Source organism: Homo sapiens, chromosome 5, assembly GCF_000001405.40.
Source record: "Homo sapiens chromosome 5, GRCh38.p14 Primary Assembly".
In the NCBI taxonomy this organism is placed as follows: Eukaryota; Metazoa; Chordata; class Mammalia; order Primates; family Hominidae; genus Homo; species Homo sapiens.
In genome coordinates, this window is record NC_000005.10 from 82,291,837 (window position 1) to 82,308,772 (window position 16,936).

The 16,936-nt window shown below is 38.9% G+C and overlaps 1 pseudogene across 20 annotated transcripts in view, besides 2 other annotated features; it reads left to right on the forward strand.

Annotated features, from left to right (window-relative positions):
* ATP6AP1L (ATPase H+ transporting accessory protein 1 like (pseudogene)) overlaps positions 1-16,936 on the forward strand; it is a 40,157-nt pseudogene that overhangs the window by 13,187 nt on the left and 10,034 nt on the right. For 3 of the 20 annotated variants that reach the window (NR_172113.1, NR_169868.1, NR_172112.1), the window contains exons 3-5: positions 11,651-11,691; positions 11,938-11,996; positions 12,779-13,014. The product of NR_172113.1 is annotated as an ATPase H+ transporting accessory protein 1 like (pseudogene), transcript variant 8 (transcript). Of the gene's footprint in view, positions 1-2; positions 102-2,465; positions 2,636-3,656; positions 3,709-11,650; positions 11,692-11,937; positions 11,997-12,191; positions 12,270-12,778; positions 13,015-13,097; positions 13,646-16,936 lie in introns of all 20 variants that reach the window. The other 17 variants (NR_172122.1, NR_172118.1, NR_172109.1 and 14 more) reach the window with 15 other exon arrangements.
* Positions 1,663-2,465: an enhancer, noted in NCBI's record as "OCT4-NANOG-H3K27ac hESC enhancer chr5:81589318-81590120 (GRCh37/hg19 assembly coordinates)". NCBI's record gives its function as "activates a minimal SCP1, AML or CMV promoter by ChIP-STARR-seq in primed H9 embryonic stem cells {active_cell/tissue: H9 hESC(primed)}" and the evidence as "EXISTENCE:reporter gene assay evidence [ECO:0000049][PMID:30033119]".
* Positions 2,466-3,268: an enhancer, noted in NCBI's record as "OCT4-NANOG-H3K27ac hESC enhancer chr5:81590121-81590923 (GRCh37/hg19 assembly coordinates)". NCBI's record gives its function as "activates a minimal SCP1, AML or CMV promoter by ChIP-STARR-seq in naive and primed H9 embryonic stem cells {active_cell/tissue: H9 hESC(naive and primed)}" and the evidence as "EXISTENCE:reporter gene assay evidence [ECO:0000049][PMID:30033119]".

Here is a 16,936-nt window from a genome sequence, read left to right on the forward strand (position 1 = left end):
AGCCCACTGTGTGTGCAAGTATCCATCTGGGCCTACCTACATTATTCCGAGGGGAAGGGGAGCTGACCAAATATACTGATGCTTGTGTCACTTGCTGTGCGGTGAGTAATAAAGTCCTTTTCTCTGACCCAGGAGTCTGTGTCTTCTGTCAGCCTCCATAAAACTGTCAGGGTAACTAGTTAGCTTCTAAGTGAATAAAATCTCAGACCCTTCACAGTTCTTCACAGAGGCTCCTCAGCAGTCCGAGCAGGAAGGTACAATGCCAGGCAGGTGACACCCTAGAGCTTTGCAGCCTCTAAGATGTCCAGTGAGCATTTCTTGTCACTGTGTGAAACCTACATGTGTGAAACCTACTGGCTACTAATTATTATGCCTTGAATATTCTTAACCAAGTGGGAGAATGTTTCAACAACAGAAAGAATACTATGTTACAATTTTAGGATCAGGACATAAAATCTATTAAAATGATACTTTATTTAAATTGAAAATATTGTGTGTGTGTCTGAAAATGTAACCCAAGCATATTTCCATGAAAGATTCTTTTTTTTTTTTTTTTTTTTTTTTTGAGATGGAGTCTTGCTCTGTTGTCCAGGCTGGAGTGCAGTGGCATGGTCTTGGCTCACTGCAACCTCCGCCTCCTGGGTTCAAGCGATTCTCCTGCCCCAGCCTCCCAAGTAGCTGGGATTACAGGCACCTGCCACCATGCCTGGCTACTTTTTTGTATTTTTAGTAGAGACGGGGTTTCACCATGTTGGCCAGACTGGTCTCGAGCTCCTGTCCTCGTGATCTGCCCGCCTCGGCCTCCTAAATGCTGGGATTACAGGCGTGAGCCACTGTGCCCAGCCGAAAGATTATTATGTAATAACTAGTAAGGGACTAACACTGTCCTTTCTCAGGGTTCACAGAACCATTATTGTCACAATGCAGGATCATCATTGGCTTGGGCTCTCACTTTCTCCTGACCAGGGCCTTGAGGAGTAGGCACTGCCACTGCTCCCATAAGAGAATACCAAGTACTGCTCTGGCAGCTGCAGGAGATGTTCTGTATCTTGCCTGTCCAATACAGGGGGCACTAGCCACAAGTGTCCACTGAACGCTTCAAATTTGGCTTGTTTGAATTGAGATATAAGTAGCATGGTGGCTCATGCCTGTAATTCCAGCACTTTTGGAGGCTGAGGCAGGAGGGCTGCTGGAGCCCAGGAGTTTGAGACCGGCCTAGGTAACATAACAAGACCCCCATCTCTACAAAATATAGAAATAAATAAATTTTTAAAATTATACGCTAGAGTTCAGATTTAGGGCAGAAAAAGAACATAAAATGTTTCACTAATAATCCTTAAAATTGAGTATGTTTGAAATGATAGTATTTTAGACAGGTTAAATAAAAATACTGTTAAAATTAGTTTCACCTGTTTATTTTTACTTCTTTTTAATGTGACTAGAAAATTTTAAATTCCATATGTAGCTCTCATTCTATTTCTATTGAACAATGCTGTTCTAGATCCTTGCTACTCAAAGGGCGGTTCTCAGGCAAGCAGCATCACCATCATCATCATCTGGGAGCTGGTTAGGAATGTGGTATCCTACACCCCACTCCAGACCTACTGGGTCAAAATTTGCATTTTAACGGAATCTCATGTGATTTGTATGCACTTTACACTTTGAGTAGCTGAGCTTCCCTAAGACTAGGACTGGCTGGTTTAGCAAACTAAAAATATAAGATGCCCAGTTAAACTTAATTTTCAAATAAACAATTAATACATTTTAAATATAGTATGTCCCAAATATTGCATGGAACATACTTATATTAAAATCATTTGTTATGTTTCTGACATTCCACTTTAACAGGTTATCCTATAGGTTATCTGTCAACATTACCTAAAACTAAACTTCTCTTATCCAGACCTGCTTGTTACTTGAAATTCCACAGAATCAGGAAAAGAACAGAAAGAGAAAAGGAGAGGTGAAGAGTAGAAGCTGGGGGAAATGAAAACGGAGAAGAAAAGGGAGTATGAGGAGGCAGTAGGAATTAGATGGGGCACGGAAAGGCCACATTTAAGGCCAGCGACCCTTTTTATTTTACAATTTTTGTTAGCAACTTTCTTCCTTATTCCTGCATTCTCCCACTTCCTCTAGTCATTCTGCTTTATTCTCCTCTTCTTATTTTCCGTTGGGGTCCCCTGAACTATGTTGGAAGAAAGTGGTGTGTGAGAGGAATAGGAATGTCTGCTCAGCGCCAAGACCCCAGCTTTCCTATAGTCTATCATCTCTGAAATTTTACTTACAAATAGCCCTTTTCCGCTACCAGTACTTTGTCTTTAAGCCATCAAGGTTCCTAAGTGCCCCCAAATGGTGGCACTTGACACTTTCGTTTTGGAGGATTTTCTTTATTGTGGCATTTTAATTGTATTTTTAAAAAATGTAAAACAACTCTTAGGAATTTTGTCGTTTGTTTTGTTTTTCAGGCTTTTTAGGGGAGTGAGGTGAAAGGAGAGGCCAGCAGGGAAGGAATAACAATAGGCACTCTATTTAGCTAAGCACTGAGTTAAGAAGAGGCTTTCATGGCCTGGCGCGGTCGTGGCTCACGCCTGTAATCCCAGCATTCTGCGGGGCCGAGGCGGGCAGACCACCTGAGGTCAGTAGTACGTGACCAGCCTGGCCAACATGGCGAAACCCCATCTCTACTAAAAATACAAAAATTAACTGGGCGTGGTGGTGCATGCCTGTAATCCCAGCTACTCGGGAGGTTGAGGCAAGAGAATCACTTGAACTCAGGAGGTTGAGATTGCAGTGAGCCGAGATCGCGCCACTGCACTCCAGCCTGACAGAGCGAGACTGGCTTAAAAAAAAAAAAAAAAAAAAAAAAAAAAAAAAGCCTTTCATCCATGATCCCATTTAATCTTCACAACAATTAAGTGTGCCTGTCCCCACTCTGCAGATGAGGAAACAAGGCTCTAGAGGGAAAATAACCTGCCTGGTGTCAGCTTGCTCACTGGTAAGCAGCTGGCCAGGCACTTCAGCTTCTGACTCCAAAGCCAGTGCTCCTCACCATTGCTATCCACACCTCTTGGCAAATGGAGCCTTATGAATTCAACAGGAAACTGTGAACTAGGACATATATGTAACTTTAGGGAAGTTCCCGAGATTTTTATTTATTCACTTGAAAAATATATGTAAAAATATATACTTCATAGATTTTGGGGAGAAATTAATAGCTTCCTGAAGTGTAGTATGAAATATATAATAGTATGACATATATGTAGTATGAAGTATATAAAATAAAGAGTCTTAAGAGTTACATGACAGTATCAAAACAATGCAAATTTCTAAAATGAGCTTAAGTGGCAAATATATTTTCTTTAAAAATTGGCTCCTTAATAATCTTTCCATGAGATGAATAATTAAAAACCTAAATATTTGTTTCACTCTATACTCTCAGCATTATCAGACCCCTCCCTTCCTCCCCTCACCATGGAATACATTCTGAGAAAGCTGCCCTGTTATTGGTTAAATATGCTGTCAGTCACATGGCATGAAAAGTACTGCCTCTGCTCTGTTTGCATTTATGAATTAACAGATTTGCTTGCTTTGAAGAAACTGATTCTTTTCTTGATGGGAAAAAAAAATCTTGTTTAGTTTTTCACTGATTTTTTTAGGTATAGGACTTTCACTAACCTTGGACCATATATTTGCCAGGAAGAATGTAAGGTGAGTAACTGCACATCTTTTAAAGCAATGTGTTTGTGAACTTAAATGCAAGTATGAAATTAGGTGGCTCTGTGATTTCTTTATGTTGTTTCATATCGACATTTACTTGTGATTCAAAATGAATAGGCTAGATCATACAGGTAGCTACAAAAATTATTGACCAGAGTTTATGCTTGAGGTAAAAATATAAGCTTTTTTATAAGAGGCAAGGGTTACTTGTTCAAAATATCCAAGAAACTTTTGTAGTATGTATCAAAGTATTTATCTGTGAGAAAATGACTCCTCAAATCAGTTTTCAGATTTCTTTTATACTTACAAGTGAATGTTAATTCCACAGTATCCCCTGCCATTATTATGTGAGAAAAGAGTAAGAAAAAAATTGAAAACCTCAGAAATATATATCCTGTCCTTCAAAGAAAAGGTGTTAAATTGTTTTAACTGTTAAGAGATGGCAATTAAATTCCTGTTTCTATTTCTGTTGTCCCTTTGGCTTCTTTATACGTCATATAAGGAACACTTAGAGGTTTTTCTATAAAAAAGAATATTCAAAATCTGAATAGCAATTAAGGTATGTCATGTCCCCCACTGACTCATTGTGTGCCATCTCAACAAATGCTTCAGGGAATTTAGTGTGAACATAGCAGACAGCAGCAAGCAGGAGAATATGGCAAAACTCGGGTTAAAGACTCCTTAGTCCACAACTGATAAAATCTATACATATAGACATTAACAATTTTTTTCTTCCATTGTTTCTGAGTCAATTGGTGCTTTCCTGCAGGTTCACTTTTGAATAGTGACTTCTATTCTTTAGTGGTTAAAGCCTAGTTCTGTTTCCCCACCTGGGTTACACAGAAATGCCTGATTTGTGTATTACACTAGTAAAATGTACACCAAGAATTAGAAAAATCCTAGTTCTGTTTTTAAGACAAAGTTAATGGGCTTAATTTTAGCTTCAGAAGCTTTAGATCTTAGAAATCACATAAGTCAATGATCATTTGAATCTAATATTATGGCTCATTAATTCATTATGAAGGAAACAACAGTTGTTGTTTTGTGTGTTCTTTCAAATAATGGATCTGAAATTTAAAATATCTTTCAACTCCCTGGGGCTATTCAATATTCTGTCTGTAGGAAGGAGGATTGTAGTTTAAGCTCGATACACGGTTTCTAAACATAGAGTGAGTAGGGGTCATTATTCTCACTTTGCACATTTCTTCCTCAAGTTGGGTTTATTCTTGATCCAAAAAGAAATCCTGTGTGACCTCCCATTTTCCACTTTGATTTCAGAGTATTTTCATCAATTTCTTAGTTCATTTGTGCATGCAACACATTTTAAAAATAATTGGTGCTTTTAAGTAGCAAGGCCCCATGCTAGATGCTGGGTCTACAATGGTGAGCACAACAGGGATAGTCCCTGGCCTCACGGACTAAGTCTAATAGGGAAGCCCTTGTTAATCAAATGATATATATTATTCCAAATAAACTTTGAAATGTGTTGTGAAAGAAAAGTATAGGAAGCAATGAGCACATACAACAGGGGGATTGGAACTTGCACAAGTTAGGGATTGTGTTCCTGAGGAAGTGACACTTACGCCATCATCTGGAGGAGATGTAGAAAATAACTAGGAGGATGGAGAACATTCCAGGTGGAGGGACCAGCAGGTGCTAAGGGAAAAATGGACCATGAAGTGTTCAAGGAACTGAATAATGCTAGAGTAGCGGAAGCAGAGAGAGAAGGGAAGAGGTGAAATAAGGCAAGCACAGCTGGCAGGCCGAAGTCTGCCTGGGTAATGTCTGGGTATTCGTGCCTCTTTCATATATTGTATTCAGTTACGTTTTAACCTGTACTACAAAGTCTGGAGTTTAGGTAGGTTAGATGATTTGGCTAAAGCATATCTCTATTATAATTTCATTATTACTTGGATGGGAACCTCACTTTTGTTGCTCAGGAAATTAAACTTGTACTCACAAGAGACTTAATATAAACCGTAATGCTAATTTATAAATTTCTAAAGGAAGACATCTTTTTAAAAAATTAAAATAGAAAAATTTATCAAAGTAATACATGTACATGGTTTCAAAAAATCAAAAGGTGACAAGACACATTAAAGGAAAAATTGTCTTCTAGTTACTTCTATAGGCAAACATTTTCAAATTTTTAGTTGTTTCTTCTGTTGGCCACTGCTTGTATTAGTCACCTTTTTTCTAGAAACAAAACAACCCCTACATTGCAGAAGTTTGCAGCCTCAAACATTTCTTTCTTGCTCCTCTTACTTCTGACAGCTACAGGCGGGCTGCTGTGACCCTGCTTTAGCTCTGTTTCCACTTCTCATTCCAAGTCCCAGACTGAAAGAGCAGCCCCTATTTGGGCATGCCATTCTTATGACAGAGGGAGTGGGGCAAGAGATGGCAGGCACATGCAGACACTCGCAACTTCTGCAGAACTGCCACACTGTTGCTTCTGCCCATATTCCATTGGTCTAATTAAGATGTATAGCTGAAACTGGAGAGTTCCGTGACCCCCCTTGCAGGACATGCAACAGGGGTGTGGTGCATCTGTTTGGCCACTGCCACATGTGCTCAAACCTTTTACAAGAAGGGGAGCATGCAGATGGGCAGGTGCAGGAACCAGGGCAAGTGATTTTGGGTTCTGGCCTCATGGTAGCATCTAGGCTTGGGTTCCTGTGACTCTCAAAGCCCCAGTGGGTGTGCTACAGTGCTCTTTTAGCTCTGCCATCTTCAGACAGCTTAAGTGTTAACCAGCTTAGTGCCCTCTTGGACCCCGGGTTTTTGTTTGGCATCCAGGAAGAATCAGGTCACACAGGGCTGGAAGGATGGTGAATGTGGGGGTTATACTGAGTGGTGGAGGTGGCTTTCAGCAGGCTGGATGGGGAGCTGGAAGGGTGATGGATTGGGGGATGATCTTCCCCTGGAGTTTGGCTGTTCAGCAGCTGATCTCCTCTCTGACTGTCCCCAGCCAAACTCCTCTAGATGTTCAGATGCTGCTTCTCGTCTCTCTTCTCTGTCATGCTGTTCTGCTGCTCTTCTGTTCACCTGTTCATCTGCTCATCTGCTTGTGGAGCCTGGGGTTTGGGGTTTATATGGGTACTGGATAGGGGGCCCTGGTGGGCCAAAAGGCAACATTGGGGTGCAGAAACAGGAATGCCTGTTCCCATTTAGGGCCGTGGGTTTCCAGGCTTAAGGGTGGGGCCTTTGCCAGGAACTGCCCCCTTCTATCCAGTATTTCCTCGTCTGCTGTTCATATAATAGCTAAGCCTGATGATGGGGCAGGAAGTATTTTCCACCCACAGGGAGGAACTGCAAGTCATATGCCCTAGGGGGATGCAAAATCCTCTCCCAGAGAAGGAAACAAAGACTGGGTAACAATCATACAATTCACCATACTGCCATAATATCAAAATAATATGCATAGGTGATTTCTCCATTTATACATGTTAGATTTTATAACAAGTTCCTTTATTATTGACAAAGTTCCTGTCTTCAATGTCCTCATCTTTCTTTCCTCCACCCCCCATCCCTCCAATATAGTTACATTACTACTTTCAGTTCATCAGTGCTTGCGTCAATATGACTATGTATATTGTTCACAGACAAGCTAGTTAGTAGAGTGTAATTTTGTTTCTTTCTTTCTTTTTTTTTTTTTTTTTTTTTTTGTGCAACGTTTCTTTTTCCCTTGAGTTAAAAATGGCCTTTTTGTAGTTGCAATTTCAAAACATGCATAGTCTTAATTCTTTTCACATATTCTTTCCTCTAATATATAGTGGTCTCTCAAATTCCCCTTTCACTTAGAGATCTCTCTGTAGGTCTTCCTTTTATTGTCCTCTTGCTCCAATCTGGATTGATTCTATGTCTGATGTACAATGGGTAGTCTTAGGTTTTGCTTCACCACTCTTCTAGTGAGATCTGCTGTTTATGAGAGCCTGTGCTTTCTCTTTGTTGGCTTTTGCCCTTACGTTGTGGGAGCATGTCCTCCATTAGCTTCTGTGAAGGGGTGAGAGAGGTGCATTGGCTGAATCCTTGCATGATTCTTGTTTTTTACTTCTGCAAGCTTAATAGGACATTTTCTTTATCCTTAGCTCCAAAATGATACAAGTACCTTAGCTCACAAAAATGAACTCAAAATGGATCACAGACCTAAGTGTAAAAGTTAAAATTTAAAAACTAGGAGAAACACAAGAGAAAATCTTGGTGACCTTGTTGAGCAAATATTTCTTTTAGACACAAAAACATAGGCCATAACAGAGAAAAAGAATACATTGGACTTTATGAAAATTAGAACTATTGATCTTTGAAAAAACACCATTAAGAAAATGAAAAAGGAAGACAGAATGCAATAAAATATTTCCGGTGTGTATCTCTGACACAGGACTTGCATCCAGAACATATAAAGAGCACTTATGGAGGTCAATGAATTTAATTTTTAAAATGAGCTAAAGATTTAAGCACACTTCACAAAAGAAACTATATGAATGCTCTATAGGCATAAGAAAAGATGCTTAGCATCATTAATCATCAGAGAAATGGATATTAAAATTAAACTTAGAGAAAATGTGGCACGTATACACCATGGAATACTATGCAGCCATAAAAAATGATGAGTTCATGTCCTTTGTAGGGACATGGATGAAATTGGAAATCATCATTCTCAGTAAACTATCACAAGAACAAAAAACCAAACACCGCATATTCTCACTCATAGGTGGGAATTGAACAGTGAGAACACATGGACACAGGAAGGGGAACATCACACTCTGGGGACTGTTGTGGGGTGGGGGGAGGGGGGAGGGATAGCATTAGGAGATATACCTAATGCTAAATGACAAGTTAATGGGTGCAGCACACCAGCATGGCACATGTATGCATATGTAATTTGCACATTGTGCACATGTACCCTAAAACTTTATAATAATAATAAAAAAATAAAATAAAATAAAATTAAACTTAGCTAGCAACCCACACCCATTGGAATGGTTAAAATTAAATAGATTGATGATACCAAATGTCAGCAAGAATGTTGAACAACAGGGAAGCAAAATTGATTGACAGCTTTTCTAAAAAAGTTACTTCTATTATGTGACTTGGTCATTCTATTCCTGTTTATTTATTCAAGAGAAACAAAAACATATTCACACAAACTCCTATACATTAATGTTCTTAAATCTTTATTTATAGTAGCTCCAAACCAGAATCACCCCAAATATTCATGACTGTGTGCACAGACAGATAAAGTATGGCATATCCATACAATGAAATATTTCTTAACACTAAAGCAGAATGAACTACTGACATATGCAACAACAGGCATGAATTTTAAAGTCATTACGATGAGACAGAAAGAAGCCAAATGCTAAGGAATATGTATGATTCCATTTATACGCAATTGTAGAAAATGCTAACTAGGCTGGGTGTGGTGGCTCACACCTGTAATCCCAGCATTTTGGGAGGCCGAAGCGGGCGGATCACCTGAGGTCGAGAGTTTGAGACCAGCCTGATCAACATGGAGAAACCCTGTCTCTACTAAAAAACACAAAATTAGCCGGGCGTGGTGGTGCATGCCTTTAATCCCAGCTACTTGGGAGGCTGAGGCAGGAGAATCGCTTGAACCCAGGAGGTGGAGGTTGTGGTGAGCCGAGATCACGCCATTGCACTCCAGCCTGGGCAGCAAGAGCAAAACTCCATCTCAAAAAAGAAAAAAGAAAAAAGAAAATGCTAACTAATCTAAAGTGACAGAAGCAGGTCTGTAGTTGCCTGGGGTTGAGGGTGGAGGGAACAACTCAGCTGCAGAAATGCAAGCGGAAACTCTTTTGGGTGTTGTAAGTATTCTGTATTGTTATTATGGCAGTGGTGTCATGGGTATGTGCCTGTGCCAAAACTCATATAATTGTATAATTTGCATGAATGCAATTTACTGTACATAAATTATATACCTCAATAAAGTTGATGAAAATGAATTGCATGCATGCATAAATTTATTAATAGCAACTAGTAGACATCATGGTCACCAATTTGTCATCTTCAGAAATTCTTATTAGATAACAGGGATCATATTACAGAGAGAATGGTGCATTTAATTTGTAATTGGTTCCATATAATTAATTCTAAAGCACTTTACTATGATACAGATTTAGTAACTCTTCAGCTACAATTATGTTTTGTATACATATCATGTAATATATATCTTTCTCTAATTATAAAAATGTTGAGTTTATATGATAGTGACATATAGAGACCTTATATCACAGGAATTGTTAAGTATAGAGTTTGCTTTGCATTCTCATATACTGTAGGTAAAACTTATGGAAAACCTAAAATATGCAATAAACAAACTGTTAAATCCTTAGGACATGTATGACAAAACTGGAGATTTAAACACTAATTTTATGTTAAATAATTATCAGTATTTTCTAGATGTAATTGTGCTGTTATTTTTAAAAGTTATTATCTTTTAGAGATATATACTGAAATGATATAATTTTTGATATTTTATTCAAACTAATATCACACGGGGGAAGAGGGTGTGCTTGTAGGTGAAACAAGATTGGTTATAACCTGATAATTACTAAAGCTGAATGATGGGTCCAGGTACATGGGGGCTTATTATATTTTTCTGTTTATATTTGTGTATGTTTGAAATATCCTGTAATAAAAAATGTGTATATCTTCTAACTTAGAAATTTCACCTCAAGGAATTTATCTTAAGGAACTTCTCATGGGTGTGAACAAACAATCCACAGTAATGTTCAATGCAGTATTGTTATAATGCTAATAAAATTGAAAACAAATACTTAAGAGTAGAAATTTGGTTAAATATATTATGATACATTTTAATGATATAATACCACATACATTAAAATGTGTCAAAAGTATATAATTACATGGAAAATATTTGTGATATAGTTTTAATAAAAAATTGCAAACTCTAAAACAGTATGCCCACAAAAATCCATTTTTAAACTGTAAAAAGTAAATTATATACATATGTGCTGTGTGTGTGTGTTTGTGTTTGTATGCATATAGAGAGGATATATACACACACAAACTCAAGGATATATATAATAATTTATATGCTCATAAGTTTCCAATATAACTTTTTGGTAATTGAGTCAGTCTTTTTTTTGAAAGGCTGGATGTTTTGGCTTTGATAGGTTAACAATGCAATGTAGTATAAAATTTCACTGTAAAATGTTTTATATGCTTTATTACTTTGTTATTTTATATTTGTTATTGGTTAAACCTTAGCGTGTAGCACATTGCTTGGCACATAGTAGGCCCCCCCATAATATCATTCAATGAATAAGAATCAGGTTTGATTTAAAATAATTTTTCTGGCTGGGCATGATGGCTCACACCTGTAATTGCAGCACTTGGGGAGGCTGAGGTGGGTGGATCACCTGAGGTCAGGAGTTCAAGAGCAGCCTGGCCAACATGGTGAAACCCCATCTCTACAAAAAATACAAGAATTAATAGGGTGTGGTGGTGCATGCCTGTAATCCCGGCTACTCAGGAGGTTGAGGCGGGAGAATCACTTGAACCCAGGAGGCAGAGGTGGCAGGGAGCCGAGATCACACCACTGGACTCCAGCTTGGGTGACAGAGTGAGACTCCATCTCAAATAAAATAAAATAAAATAAAAATAAATAAAATAATTTTTCTTTCTAAAATTTTTCTTTATTTTTCATTTTCTTTTTTGAGGAACATATGTTACTTTCTCTCTCTGTTAAATGCAGAGACAGCAGGGGAGAGACATATTACTGTTTAAATGGGAAATTCACTGTTAAGAAATGAACAGTTTTGGCAGGCTGTTTCTGCTCCTCTATTCTGAGATGTAATAAAGTGAAATATACTTCTTAAAATTTCGTGTAACATCTAAATTATGGATATTTATTCAGCATCTTTTAATTTTTTTTTTTTTCTAATTTCAGTTCTCCAACATCTTCAAATAAAGAAGTGGTTATGAGGAATGGTAAGACTCCAGTTGCCCACATGATTCCTTGTGGGGTGGAGAAGGGCTTTTTCTGTGATAGAATTCCCTGACCAGTGGTGTCTGTACCAGGAGTCACTCATGTGAAATCTTTTATACTAGTGCATCATAAATTATGAGCCAAAAGGGGCTCAAGCTTGATATATGTGACAGTGCTTAGCATTGCTCCCAATTACATTAATAAATGACATTTAGCATTTGGTAACCACATCATCATTTATTTGACAGATCAGAATAATGGAGATATGAAACCATTCCAGAATTTCACAACAATACCAATCACACAGGTATGGCTATGTCAGGAAACCAGATTGTAATCTAGCTCTAAAAAACTTAAAAACACATTTCAATCATGTCTGTGCTCTGTGAAAATATAAATAATAATTGTATTAATAAGTAACATATTTTTGCTTCAAATTTGGGTGGGGAAACATATTGTGGAATCTCTTCTTTTTAAAAGTCAACTTTTATTTTGGATACAGAGGGTCCATGTGCAGATTTGTTACGTGAGAATAGTGCATAATGCTGGAGTTTGCGGTATGAATCCCATCACCCTGATAGTGAGTATAGTATCCCATAGGTGGTTTTTTAACCCACTCCACTCCCTCCATCCTCCAGTCATCCACAGTTTTGATGGTTTGCATATTTATGTCCATGTGTACTCAGTGCTTAGCTCCCACTTATAAGTGAGAACATGTGGTATTTGGTTTTCTGTTTATTATGGAATCTTATAGTTGGGAAAAACCTAAAATACTTAATTTTACTTGCTCTCTTATATTTTCATTACAATATTCAGCTTCACTTTTGTTGCTATAATAATAATAATCTTTAGTTACTGATAAGCTTAAGTTGCTGCTCTCTATTAACTAATTTTTCTTTTATCTGTATTTACACTAGAGTAATTGGTGCAAATTTCTTTCTTTGTATTGTACATTTTGTGGGTTTTAATAAATGTGTAATGGCATGTATTTATCGTTACAGGATGTGAATTAGCTCTTTCATTTCTAGGAAGCCTTTTGTAACATAGACACAAATTCATCTCTTATGTTCTTTTTATTTGGTTAATTAGGCTCTCAACTACAATCTGAGCAAAGAAGGGCATTTAGAAAAAGAACCTTGGAATGCATTCAGCCATCATGGCCCAGTTAATGTCTCCATCAATGGAATTCCTTGCATTCTCTTCTGGGCCAAAAGAATAATGATTAAATTTAAGAATCAAACCTGGCTGGACCTTACAGACGAGCCATTTGGTCAGAAGGTAACTGTGGACCCTGACAACTCAAATTGCAGTGAAGAAAGTGCTAGGTAAGTTGATCTCTCAGTTTGAGGAAGCCCCTAGGGCTATTGCGTTCTGTTAACTCTGCATTCAACTTTTTTTGTCATTTCAGAAAAAAAAAGTAGGCTCCTTTGTATAGGACCCTGACACACATCTTTGAGGAAGTATTTACTGTCTAAAATAAAGGAACAAGTCAGAAGTTAACTTCAAAAATTGTTGGCTGGGCATGGTGGCTCACGCCTGTAATCCCAGCACTTCGGGAGGCCAAGGGAGTGGATCACCTGAGGTCAGGAGTTGGAGACAAGCCTGGCCAACATGGTGAAACCTCGTCTCTACTAAAATACAAAAATTAGCCGGGCGTGGTGGCAGGTGCCTGTAATCCCAGCTACTCAGGAGGCTGAGACAGGAGAATTGCTTGAACCTGGGAGGTGGAGGTTGTGGTGAGCTGAGATCGCGCCATTGCTCTCCAGCTTGGGTGACAGAGTGAGTGAGACTCCATCTCAAAAAAAAAAAATTGTTATATTTTCCCGGCAGTTTTCTTCTGAACCTTTTTGCTAATTGTCGGAATAACTTGTAGAAAATGAGACTTTGGAAAGCAAGGGTTCTCAAACTCGTTTTGAAAACAGCAAAGGATTCCAGGCTTGGTCTCAACTCCAAATGGTAGGTGTCAAACTACTTTTATTCTATCAGGGAAGAGATCACATATCCCAGCAGGGTCATACACATTCTAGTGGGTGACACACTAGCCAGGACAAATGCTTGACTCTGCGGAGGTAGGGGGCCGGGGGGTGTCAGTGTGCAGAAATAGTGGAATATTGCCTGTTTGCAAATGCGCAAGGGTACTTTTTAATGGCTAAATTCCAGATAATTCTTAAGGACATTTCAAAATGATTGGAATAATTAGTTTTGATTTGAGATAAGCAGATTAAACAAATAACATGTTTGAAGGGCAAATCAATTTCCAATGCCTTTCTCTGCTTTTCAGTCATCCAAGCAAAAATTTTTGCTTTTATTTATTTTGGTCCAGGGAGAGGAAATCTGGCATGTCCTGCTTGCTTTCTATAAACCTTCTTTCAACATTTGTTGGTAAAATAGATCCTTTTGGAAGATTCTCTGCATTTGTTCTGGTTTGGCTTAGATGGGTAGGATGCTTTATATAAAGCATAACAGTGTGTGTGTGTGTGTGTGTGTGTGTGTGTGTGTGTGTTTGTGTGTATTCTTTTTCTACTTTATGTACTTTAGCTGGAAAGATCCTTTTATTCCTGAACTTTACTTCTCACTTAAAAATTCTTGACAATGGGTAAAAATGGATTCTATTAATATACAATTGAAAGTCATATTACAAATCTTAGTATCTTGCTGTTCAGAATGACAATCTTTTAATAGGGATTTAGGGAAATGTACGTGGAAGCATTTAGAGTCCTCTCAGATTTGTTTATCCTGTTATAGCTCAACTATCCAAGGCTATCAAAGAGACTACGGGAGGCTGAGAGCTCAGAACCTTTTCCTGGGGTGCTAATTAATTCCCCACAGGGCTCTTTATTTGTGGTCAGTTGCAAGGAGAAAGGCTGCCTGCTTGGGGATAATCTTGCCTGTCTATGGCTGACTGGCTCTCCTTGATTCCATTTATCCTGACCCTAGGGCATCTGTGGGAGAAAATCAGGGTCCTACAGTTGTTTGTTTGTTTATTTATTTATTTTATTTCATTTTATTTTATTTTTGACAGAGTTTCACTCTTGTTGCCCAAGCTGGAGTGCAATGGCATGATCTCAGCTCACTGCAACCTCTGCCTCCCAGGTTCAAGCGATTCTCCTCCCTCAGCCTCCTGAGTAGCTGGGATTACAGGCACGTGCCACCACGCCTGACTAGATTTTTGTATTTTTAGTAGAGATGGGGTTTCATCATGTTGGCCAGGCTGGTCTCGAACTCCTGACCTCAGGTGATCTGCCCACCTCGTTCTCTCAAAGTGCTGGGATTACAGGCTTGAGCTGCCATGCCCGGGCACCTACAGGTTTTTCTTTTTTTTTTGCTGGGTTTTAGAGATCTTGTGGTTACTGGGAACCTAGAGACGGAAAGAATGAAAACTTGGCTTCTAGGCCCAGTTCTGCCAGTGAGCTTTGTGATTTTACAGGCAGGACCTGTAGGATCATCATCTGTCAAATGGAGATGATGGCATCTATTCATTATAGCTATGAGGCCTTGAGCATTTACTGTGGGCCAGGCACGGTGTGAGGTCTTCATAGGCACATGTCTGTTATTCCTCACAGTAACTCTTAGAGTCACAGGCAGTTATCACAGAGGTTAGAAAACTTGCTAAAGTCATGGAGCATGTATGTTCATAGAGCTGGGGTTGAAAACATCTTTAAAAATGACCATTTATCTTCTTCCTCTTGGCCCTATCTGACAAGGTTGTGAAAAACACATGAGGAAATATATGCATAAGCACTTTGAGATCTTGTCAAGTGCTGTTCAAAGTATTAATAGTAGTAGCATTATTTTCCTTCCTGACATCCCAATGATAACTAGAGTGAAATAGTGTCTAATTTCTTCAGTAAGCTTCGGGTCTCACAGGACACAAATGAAAGATTGGGCAGAACCTGACTGTCTTTTTGGTCACTGCTTAGAATTCTATTCAGGTGTGAGCCCTGAGTGTGCAGTGTCCACCTGCTGGAGTCCTGCACACAGAGTGTGCAGGCATCCTGGACAGCCTGCCCAAAGAGGAGCAACAGGAGGCTTCCAGGAAGGGAGGTGTCAAGAACCAGCTGCTGAGACCTAGTGGCTGATTCCTGTGAATTGCATGGATGAGCCAGATGCCCTTGTGGTGCTGGCAAGGAAATCTTAAGATCTTAAGAAGGAGAATGGGAGTTGCTGAAATAACAAACCGAAACAAAGACATAACCATGTAAGGTCAAAAGCACAGATTAAAAAAAGGTGACCACGTTTTAGCTCTTGGAAACAAAATGTTTAGAGAGAGGCAAATTGTTGGCAGACAGATTTGCTACGGAAGTCTTTTTAAATAGTGAAAGCCCTGCAAATACAGCATAATCCCAGCATCTGTGTGTATTTGGAATTTAGGCAATTATAGCCTCAAGAATTCAGAATCCATTTTACATGTGTGAGAGTAGAACACTTGAAAGAGTAAAAAGAGCTCCTTTTTGAGCAGCTCTTGTTCCAGGTTGTATTTCTCCTTTGTGTTCCCAATTGATGTCACAGTGCCTGATACTTAAAGATCCTCATGGCTGAGCACAGTGGCTCACACCTGTAATCCCAGTACTTTGGGAGGCCAAGATGGGCAGATCACCAGAGGTCAGGAGTTAGGGACCAGCCTGGCCAACATGATGAAACCCTGTCTTTACTAAAAATACAAAAATTAGCCAGGTGTGGTGGTGCATGCCTGTAGTCCCAGCTACACAGGAGGCTGAGGTGGGAGGATTGCTTGAGCCCGGGAGGTGGAAGTTGCAGTGAGTGGAGATTATGCCACTGCCCCTGAGCCTGTGTGACAGAACAAGACCCTGTCTCAAAAAAAAAAAAAAAAAAAAAAAAAAAAGGCAACAAATATTTTCATCATGCCCCAAAGTTACTGTGTGTTTCTTTGTAATGCGTCTTTCCAACCACTGTCACATCTCCAGATAACCACTGATCTGCTATCATTATCAATTAGTTTCCATGTTCTAGAATTTTATATAATCACATGTGTGTACTCTTTTTTAGTGTAGCCACTGTCACTTAGCTTAATGATTTTGATAATCTTCCATGTTACTGCATCTGTTAATGGTATTTCCCTTTTCATTGCTGAGTAGTAGTCCATATTATAGATGTACCACAACTTATTTATCTATTCACCTGTTGATAGAAATTTGTTTTTTCCCTCACTTTTTGCATAACTTTCCAAGTACAGTCACTATGAACATTCATGTACAAGTCTTTGTGGCAGCAGGTATCTTCATTTCT